Source organism: Homo sapiens, chromosome 2, assembly GCF_000001405.40.
Source record: "Homo sapiens chromosome 2, GRCh38.p14 Primary Assembly".
In the NCBI taxonomy this organism is placed as follows: Eukaryota; Metazoa; Chordata; class Mammalia; order Primates; family Hominidae; genus Homo; species Homo sapiens.
The window spans coordinates 72,035,656-72,046,395 of NC_000002.12; the positions used below are offsets into that span (position 1 = coordinate 72,035,656).

The following is a 10,740-nucleotide window of genomic DNA, read 5'->3' on the forward strand; positions in this document are numbered from 1 at the left end:
ATGGCTCTCTTCTCCGCCCACAGGAAGTGTGACCCCGGATCATGACGTCATGGCTGACCTTGGCATCTGTCCTGCTGCCTTAATGAATCAGGCCTCGCTAAGGAGAAAGCCCCAAGTGGCCAACAGGAATGACTCAAAATGACTTAATTGATTTAATTAACTGAAAAGAGAGGAAAAGAAACCAAACCCTTCTGAGGGCAGTTTGAGTACCTGCTTGGGCAATGAGTGCAATGGAGATGCCCCCGGCCTGGTGGCTCAGGTTCAGGAAACACGTCTCACCCTGGCCCCACCCTAGGGTCCATGGTGCCGGGGCAGGCCGGGCCCTGATCCTCACTGTCTCAGGAGAACCAGGCAGCCAGGGATCACAGCAAGGCCATCCACAGTGGAGGATCAGCCCTGGCTTTTGTGACTTAGCTTTCAAGAGCCAGGCCCTGGCAGACGTCACCCTCAGAAGCTTCCTGCAGGGGGTGGGTTGGGTCAGGCAACCCAGGAAGGACGGGTAGACATAAATAGGTAAGGCTGAGGAGGAGAGGCTTTCTTACGGTGAAGGACAGAGGAGAGCTCTGTGGAGAGGTTGGGCTGAGCCCTGCAGGCCCAGAGTCCCTGAGAAGCTACAAGGAGCAAGGGCGGGCAGGGGAGGCTAGATTAGACATTGCCTTCTGACCCTCTTCAGTGAGAAAACCCTGCTTCTGCAGGGGTAAAGATCTCAGCCTCACTGAGCTGCCCTGCCCTGTGGAACCCCTGATGTGCTAGGGACAGACTATCCCTGACCACTGACATCTACTGAGCAAGTACAAGTGCCAGACATGCTTGGGGCTTCCCAGAGTGTAGCCCATTCCATCTTCATCATTCTGCAGTAAGTAATGCCACTGGCCCCGTTTTGCAGGTGAGGAAACTGAGTTCAGAGAGGTTCAGAGATTGGCCCAAAGACACACAGCTAGTAAATAGTGGAGCCAAGGTTAGGGTCCAAGTGTGTTCAACTGCAGCACGCAAGTTGCTCTTAGCCCCTCCTTGGGCCCCCCCCCGCCCCACCATGGGTGACTGAGACACAACTCCTGACCATGGGGCTCTCCCGGTCTGATTGCCGTGTTCTGTCCTACAGAAACTTGGTCCAGCTGGGAAGCTTTGTTGCTGCTCTTAGGAAGCTCCCGGAAAAGTGTCTAATGGCAGGGCAACAGTGGTGGCGGGGGTTGTGGGTTCCCTTTCATCTGGGAGCTGTAGCCAGCAGGGGCTGGAGGAAGGATGCTCCTTAGGAGGCATCACTGAGAAGTGGACTAAAGAGATAACACCAGCAGAATCCACCTGTATCTTCTCTAAGGCTGAGGCCTCCTCTCCATGTGGGCCTCTCCCAGCAAGGGGGGCAGACAGGCACTCCCCACCTTCAGGGAGCCAGGCTGCCTGGCAGGCGGAGCACTTCAGCCTGGAGCCAGGAGATCTGAAGGGAGGGAGATGCGGTGCTGAGAGGAGATCAGCCCAGAAACCCCCTGAGTGTCTTTCATGTCTGTGCAATGGGTCCATCTGCAGCCAGGGCCAGGGCCCAGCAGAGGCCAGAACTGCGACTGTCTGAATCAAAGCCAGTCCACGGCCAGGGTCAGAGGTCAGTCAAAGATCAGGGTCATGCATTAGTCAGAGGCCAGCTTGAGGTCTCAGCTATAGGTCAAGGGTAATGGGGCTGGGATCAACTTTTAAGCAGTGGGCTGCAGAAGGAAGAGGCTGGGAGGTCCCTTGAACAAGGTCTGGATCAAGAGACTACAGTGAGTCACCAGGGTGACCCCTGGGGTCCTGTTGGCTGTGGTCACCTGCTAGGGAGCGAATGCAAGCCGGGGCTGCGGATGCTCCAGGGGTAGGCAGGGGCCTGCCTACAGACTCCGCGCCCCTCATTCCTCCTGGCTGAGGTCATTCCATTGGCCCAGCCACCCCAGCCTGGGAGGGGAGGCAGAGGTTCTGAAGTGGTTCCCCCAGAGTACCTGTGAGTCATGATCCCTAGGACTGCAGCTACTGGGCCTGGCAGATCGGGGTACCCCAGGACGCTGCTCCCAGCCCCAGAGCCTCATGTGTCAGCAAACGAGAGTCAGTTAAAGGCTAAATCCTACTGAGACTAAGCTATGTGCCAGACACAGTTCTAAAGCTTTATATACATAGTTTCTTTTAATCCAGTGATGTGTTATTACTCAGTTTATAGATGAGGAAACTGAGGCACAGAATGGTTAAATACATGACTCTGGCACTTAAATCCATGCATGGCTTTAAATGAGGCAGCCAACCTCACTCTGAACCACAATATGATTTCAGAACAGGATGAGACTAACCCTCCCCCAACCCCACCAACTCAAGCAAGCTGTGGCATTGCTAAAGGGCTGTGGGCATGGGGACTGCAGACTCCACATCCCTACCATGCTACTTCCTCATAGAAGAAGCTTAAAGCCAGAGTCCAAATCTCTAGGGATGAAATTCCAGGCAGCAGCAAGTTGAATCTTTGGAGCAGGGTGGACTCCTGGCAGTATCAGCCAGGAGTCTCCATTTTTCTTGATCCATGAAATGCCGCCATCCCCATTTGTTTCTTTTCTATTGGACATGGGGCCTTCCAGCAGGCAGCGTACCTTGGGAGGGACTCCCAGTGCGATGTGCTGGCCTCCCAGTGCAATGTGCTGGCCTCCCAGGAAAGTGAGCTAAGAAACATTGCACTTTGGTGGAGTTGTGAGATGCTTTGGTAACTGCGCTTCTATTTGATGTAATGGGGTTAATGAAACTGGGTTAAAATACAGGATTCTCAGGATATGGGTTCCCAAAGGCAGGAAAAGGGATCAGTAAAGACAGTTAAAGGACACAGGACCCCAGGGGCATCGCATTTGATCAGCAGTTTACTCATTCCAGGCACTTCCACAGGTACCTTCACCAGAGTCTCACAGGGAGGAGGTGCTAAAACTGAGATTATCAACCTTTTTCACAGATGAGAAAACTGAGGCCCTCGTGGGGTAAGTGTCGAAGACGCTTTGGAGGCTCCTCTGCAGATGTTCCACCTTGCCCCCTCCTCTGTTGCTGGGAACTCCAATTTTGCCTGAAACTCACCATCCCCAGTTCGTGAGAAGGACGCCCCCACTCAGCTCCAGGGTCTCTCTATTGGCTGAGGCCAGTGGCTTGCCACCTTCCCAAACCCAATCCACCTTTGATAGAAAACATTTTGAGCCATCCCCTTTACTATCCTGAAATGAAATCCATAGATAATATAATTTCAAAGGGAAGCATCAACACAATGCCTTTAACATAAAGGAGAAATATAAGAAGAGTAATTTCTAATGAGCTAAACATGTTTTGGTGTGCAGACGATCAAACGGGACCACAGCACAGGCTGCACTGTGCCGGTGGCAATGCAGACCTCCTGGGGCGCTGCAGCCACTCACACCCCATGGAGCAGCACTGCCAACACTTTGGGACCTTCAGAAGTGGCAGGAGGCTCTCAGTCAAGTTCCAAAGAAAACCATGGAGTATTTTCTCCCACTGTACCTGGTAAACATTGGGCAAGGATGCTTCTATAAAATAGAGTTAAGGGCCTACGCCTGGATCATAAAAAACAGGTTTCTCACCTTCATGAATGACTGACATGACATTAAAGGTCACAGAAGGGACAAATTATTCTATGCAATGCAGGACATTCAAACTTTCCCTGCACCCTCCCCAAACCCCTCCAAATGCCATCACTCCAACAGTCACAACACGCCCGCAGCTTTCTTCTGTGAGCCAGTGCTGTAAGCTGATGACACAGTCATCTATCTCCTTGCCTGAGTATGGCCAACAGGACATAGGGGGGTGGAGGAAAGTTTTCTCATCATGATTGAGGGGAGAGAGAATTACCCCCACTTGTTTACCAGATGTCATTTTATCACTGACCACCCTGAGGGAGACATGGCCAACTGCTGTGTTAGACAGAGGAAGGATGGAAAGCTCCCAGGCCCCTGGGAGTTGAGGGGACTGTCAGCCTGCAGATCCATCTGCCCCGGAACCACCCTGAGTATGGACTCTGCTATGTGAGGCAATAATCCCATCTTGCTTAAGCTATTCTGAGCTGGGCCTTCAGTTGCTTGTTCCCATGGATGTTCAGATACAAGAAGTGGCTTTTCCTGACTTCACAGCCATTCTGGAAATCAGAGCTCAAGTCTCCTGGCCTCAGATGGGTTCTCTCTCCACCTAGTCCTGAGAGATGGAAGCAACCAGGCAGGGTCACTTCTCGGGAAGCTTTCTGGAAAGGAGGCCTCTGAGCCTTCTCAATGGGTGGAGACTCTGAAGGGGCAGACGTCCTGGGGATGGGAAGGGGACTGTCCCCTCCCCAGCTCCTTCCCTGACTCAAGAGACACTAGGATTAGCAGCCACATTCCTCACTAATGTCATCTTTTATGCTTTCGGTGCTTTACAGGCGCCTATTAGAAGACAAGCACTCCACCCAAAGGTGTCTGCCCAGCAGCCAGAACTCCCTAAGTGTGACACAGAGGCAGCACCAGCCTCATCTGCAGTGAGCATCAAAGGCCTCCCTGGGGAAGCCCTCAGCACAGCCCCCAAGGGTGGGAAGGAGTAGGCGGTATGGAAGTGGTGGAGAGGTGGTCAAACCCTCTGAGAAGACCCCACAGTGATGGAAACACAGCAGGACACAAGCTCCTGCTTGACTTGCATCCATCTGCCATGGACCTGCAGATGGAACTGCCATGCAGCACCTACAGACCTCTGCGCAGATTCTCAGCTTTATCCAGGTCCAAGAGGAGCCATCCAAGGTTTGAAGCACAGGGTGACACAGCCACTTCAAGTCCTGGTTTCCCTGAAACCCTTGAGCATCTCCACAGGCCTCCCACTGCAGAACCATGCTGTGGCCTCGAGTTTGGTCCTCAGTGGGAGCCAGCATCTGCACAGCTGCCTTCATGGACAGGGATAATGTCCCTGGTCCAAGTCTTCTGGCCCTTGGGTGTCAGGCGAGGAAGCAGGACACACTCTAGCCCCGAGTTACTTCTCGATACCTCACTTGTAACCCATCATTCCCATGCTCAAGAAGCCACCATGGCTCCCTACTGCCCAAGAGGTCAATTCGAAGTCCACCATCTGCACCCAAATGGCCTCTCAACCTTTTCCCTTTTGTTCACAAACACCAACCCCGAGGTCCCAGCAAGCTAACCTCACAGCGCCCTCGACTTTCCCACCTCCACACCACTGCCTACACTGCTTCCCCAGCCTGGAATGGCTACACCCCACAGGCACTCACATCATCTACAAATCCCACCCATCTCTTAACAACTGGCCCTCCTCTCACAAACGTCCTAATGATTTTCCAGCTCCTGCCGCCCTTGACAACTCCTCAGTCCTCAAAACAGTGGAGATATTCAGCTATCTACCATCAGTCTCAGTAATTACCTTGAACAGTCTCTTTCATCCTGTATTGCTTTTCACATTTTCAGCATTTGTGTTCTTGCCCACCCCCCACTCCATTGTAAACTCTTGGAGGATGCAGACCTGTCTTACTCACACATTCCCAGCACCCAGCATGCTATTGGCACCCACCTGCTAGGAGCTCAGCGAACGTTCTGTGGTTTTGAATTGCTTTTGCTCCAAGGAGTGACTCAGTGATGAAATTGCCTATACAGAGATAACTGGGTGGGGGGAGGTTGAGGGAAGGGTCCCTCCCTCGAATTATTATCATCACCAATGAGTATTTGTTGCATGACTTTGCAAAAGTAATTAGGGAGGAGATTGTTCTTCTAGTCTGTGATGATGGAGTGAACTCCGCAAGCAAGAGATGCAAATGGAACAAGACAGAAGGAACAAGACATGGGATGGAGAATGGGTAGGGACAGAAGCAGAGATTTGGAGAGGGAGCAAGACAGTGACAGGGACAGACAGAAACAGGGCCAGGGATGGAGGAGGAGAGGTACATGTGGAAACAGGCAGGGACCCAGAGAGACGAGCATCAAAGAGGGCAGAGAGGGAGAGAGGAAGACCAACAAAAGCTGAGAGAGGCAGAGGGCAGCAGGGGAGTGGGCCCCTCCCTCCCCAGCTGCTTCCCAGCCAGGCTGGGCCCTGCATCCTCAGAGCCACTCCTGAAACTCCCACATGTTGGGACACGAAGTCCAGGAGGAAGGCAGCCAAACTGGAAAGCAGCCGAGGAGCAGCTGCCAGGCAGCCATGCACCCAGGAAGATGGCAGTGATGAGGAGACGTTGTCCTGTCCCGTGGCCCCACCATCATACCCCCCCAACACACACACACCTGCACACACACACACATACACACACACTGACCTAGCCAAGGTACACTCCTGCACTGGCTGGCTGAGCTTGGCTGGATGAGGAGTACTTTTTCAAGGCTTGACTCAGGTGCCTGCTGGTGACAGGGAAAGGGAGTGGCCCAGCTGAGACCATGGAAGCTGCAGGGGTGGGGGGGTCAGAAACGAAAGGAAAGCTGGGATTAAAGTTTCAGTAACCTGCCTCGAAAGTGCCCAGGTGTTGTGTGGGCCAGGATTCCTGGGTGCTGAGTAAGGCAGCCATCCCCGTGTGGATGAGGAGAGGAGAGGTGCTGGCCACTGGTTGGTGTGAGGTGGGCAGGGGGATGGAGAGTCTTGCCGGGGACTGTGGCCTCCTCATCACCTCTTCCCACCACGCAACACCTTCCTCACAGTCCAGGCACCCATTGATTGAGGGCTCAGACCCCCGCTACTAAGAATGGAGTGAGGTGGTAGGTTGAGACTCAGGGAAGCCTGGGCCTGGGGAGGTCTAGGAACGATTCCTGTGTGTGTGGTGTGGTAAGAGGGATAAAGGATGCCGAGAAAGAAGGGACGAAGAAAGGCAGGGGCTGAAGGGCTTTAAGAAGACTTAGCCTGCCAAACTTCGCTATTCATTCGTGCACTTAAGCAACATTTATTGACACAGGAGAAAAGGGGGGTCCAATCAGAAACCAGCGTGAATAGACAAACCCCAAACCTGATCACAGACTGAACCCTAAACCTGGCCTCAGACTGAACTTTAACCCTGGCCACAGACTCACTGCTAAACCTGTCCTCAAACTCACCCCTAATCCCTAGTACTCCAGCTACACTGAGCCTAGTCTTGGCTACTGGCCACCTCAAAACTATATGTCTCTATCTGAAAAGGTACAGGGAAAGACCATATAAATGTTTCTTGAGATCCCTGTCATCGCTACCACCAACACACAGCACATGGCAGAAGGGCCTGACGGATGACATTTGGCTGCACATTGGAAGGGGTTACAAATGCCATGAAAAGCCCTTGTTTTTCTCTAGCATAGCCCTAATGCCCTTCACAGTTGAATTGCTTCTCCTCCACACCATTCCCTCTCCCTGCCTGCCAGACAAATTTGCCCACTGTTCCCTGACTCCGGACTCCTGACCCTCTCAGAGCCCAATTTCAGAGCCCCTTGAACCTAATCTTACCAGCCAAATACAATCTTTATCTCCTCCCTCTAGCCAATCCCAGCTAGAAGGCTGTCTCCCTCCTCTGAACTACTGCCTCAATGTAAGTTAATAATCCATTTGGCCAAGAATGGCCTTCTATTGTCTTCTTAAAGTGTTATTTTCATTTGCAGAATGACTGCATGTTAGACATACATTCAAATTATCGCCCCAAGTAGGTAGTAATTTTTCCATTGTTACAATCAATGCTGTGATGAACATTCTTACAATATATCTTTATGTCCTTGTATACTTTAAAACATTTCTTCAACCAGAGGAATGTTCTAAACATAATTTTAAAAGTCTAAAAGTCAAAAAAAATTATGATGAAAATTAACAGTATCCTGGCCCACTCCCCCTGCTTCCCTGAGGCTCTTGCAATTTCTTTAGCAGTTTTTCTAGTATTTAACTGTATATATCTAAATAATTTGTTTATATTCTGCTTTCTTGATTAATCAAATTTACATCATTTACTGACTTACTACTATGGAAGATGAAAAAGGGAGCACTCTTACATTGCTACACACAAACATTTCCCCTCTCCCTGGTCTTCTAATAGATCTGAATTACAACATTTCCAAATCTGAGTCAGGTAGTATACTATGATTGCATTTGCTTTCCTGTACAATGTTTAGTTCCTCCTGGAGTCAATAACGGCCTTGATTTTATTTGCCTAGCTTGCTCAATACTTATAGTTAATTCTCTCCAGGCTTTCTGACAGAACCATAAAACCTCTCTAAATAAGGTCAATATCTTCCATTTTTTCTTAGATTTCCTTAACATAGCTGCTGCTCCCATCTGTTCTGGCTGTCTCACATGCCAAAGCACCGTTTTTCTAGTACTTCTTTCACTAACATCTTAGGGATTCATTTTGCTTTTATCTTGTGTTGGCATCTTATTTCCTGGCTCCCCTGTCAATATTTTCTTAGTTTATTCTTTTATTTTGTTGGAACACAACCTCCAGTAGTTTCTTTGGAAAAAATGAGAGATACAAGTTTTGAAAATTTAGATGTCTGAAAATGCTTTTATTCTACTCTCAATATTGATTGAAGGTTTGGCTGGGTATAAAATTCTATATTTATTCTTTAAAGAGCCTTCTCACTAAAATATAGCCAGACCCTAGAAAAATTGCCTTAAATACAATTTCTATTTTTGTAATCATACTCACAAAACATAAGGAAAATGAAAATAACAAACTTAGGAAACTATTCTTTCATCATTGAGATCTATAATTTAGGTCAAGTATTCCCAGCATTGGCTTTACACTAGAATCAGCTGTGGAACTTACTTAAAAAAAAAAAGAAAACTGATACTCCAAAATCTGATTTAATTTGTCTGCAATAGGGATGGGTATAGTTTGTTGGTTTTTAAGGTTTTTCGTTTGCTTGTTTGTTTGTTTGTTTTTAGTGAGAGACTTCTCCCAGTCAGATGTAGAATACTGAATTTTTTATGTGTGTTTTAAAATATACATAACCTAAAATTTATCATATTAGCCATTCCAGTTTGGTGGCATTAAGCACATTTGCATTGTTGGGCAACCATCCCCACCATCCAATTCCAGAAGCTTTTCATCTTCCAAAATGGAAACTTTGTACTAATTAAACACTGACTGTCTATTCCTCCCTTCCCCTAGCCCCTGGCCACTACCATCTTACTTTCTGTCTCTATAAATTTGACTTGTCTAGGTACTTCATATAAGTGCAATCATATAGTATTTGTCCTTTTTCGACTGGCTTATTTCACTTAGCATAATGTCTTCGAGGTTAATCCCTATGATAGCATGTGTCAGAATTTCCTTCCTTTTTAAGGCAGAATAATATTTTATTGTATGTGTATTCCACATTTAGTTTATCCATAAAGCTACTGATAGACACTTCAGTTGCTTCCACCTATTGGCTATTGTGAATAATGATACTATAAACATGGGTGTACAAATACCGGTTTCAGTTTCTGCTTTCTTTCTTCTGAGTACATACTCAGAAGTGGAGTTGTTAGAGTACATACAAATCCTATGTGTAATTTTTTTTTGAGGAACCACAGTACTGTTTTCCATAGCAACTGCACTGTTTTACATTCTCACCAATGTAAAATAAACACTCCCACAGTGTTCCAATTTCTCCATACCCTCATCAATATCTGTTATTCTTTGTTTTGTTTGTTGGGTTTTGTTTTGTTTAGGGATTTTTAGATAATAGCCATTGTAATGGGTATGCAGTGGTATCTTATTGTGGTCTTAATTTGCATTTCCCTAAAGATTAGTAATATTGAACATTTTTCATGTGTTTATTGGCCATTTGTATATTTTTTTGAGAAATGCCTATTAAAGTCTTTGCCTGTTTTTAAATCAGTTTTTGTTTTTGTTGGTTGTTAAGTTGTAAGAATTCTTTTTATATTCTATATATTAATTCCTTATTAGATATATGCTTTGCAAATATTTTCTCCCATTCCATGAGTTGCCTTTTCACTCTGTTGATAATGCCCTTTCGTACATAAAAGTTTTTAATTTTGGTGGAGTCCAGCTTATCTATTTTTCATTTTGTTGTCTATGCTTTTGGTGTCATATGCAAACAAGCACTGCCAAGTTGAAAGTCATGTAGCTTTTATACTGTTTTTTTTTTTTTCTAAGAGTTCTATAGTTCTCACTATAATGTTTAGGTCTGTAACCTATTTTGAATTAATTGGTATATACAGTGTAAGATAGGAATCCATCTTCATTTATTTTTGTGTAAAGATATCCAGTTTTCCCAGCATCATTTGTTGAAAACACTGTCCTTTCCCCCATTGAATAGAGTTGGCTCTTTGTTGAAAAGCATTTGACTATGTATCCAAGGGTTTTTTTTTCTGGGCTCTCTGTTCTATTTTGTTGGTATATATGTCTGTCTTTATGCCAATACCACACTGTTTTTATTACTGAAGCTTTGTGAGAAGTTTTGAAATCAGTAAGTGTGAGACCTTCAACTTGTTCTTTTTCAAAATTGTTTTGGCTACTCAGGATCCCTTGGGATTCCATATAAATTTTAGAATAGATATTTCTATTTCTGCAAAAAATGTTATTAGAATTTTGAGAAGAGTTGCATCAAATCTGTAGATTGCTTTCACTAGTATTGATATCTTAACAATATTAAATCTTCCAATCCAGGCATAGACTTAAAAATAACTCACAATAAAAGACTGTAGATAAAGCAAAGAGCTAGTGTTCTTTAATTTGTCTTTGAATTTACCTTGTCTGCCAAGTCATTCAGCTGAAAACTTCAAAACATCTTTATTAGTAGCTTCATATGTTAATCGATGAGGATC

General features: G+C 46.7%; 1 annotated feature.

Annotated features, from left to right (window-relative positions):
- Window positions 1,108-1,775: an enhancer, noted in NCBI's record as "H3K4me1 hESC enhancer chr2:72263893-72264560 (GRCh37/hg19 assembly coordinates)". NCBI's record gives its function as "activates a minimal SCP1, AML or CMV promoter by ChIP-STARR-seq in primed H9 embryonic stem cells {active_cell/tissue: H9 hESC(primed)}" and the evidence as "EXISTENCE:reporter gene assay evidence [ECO:0000049][PMID:30033119]".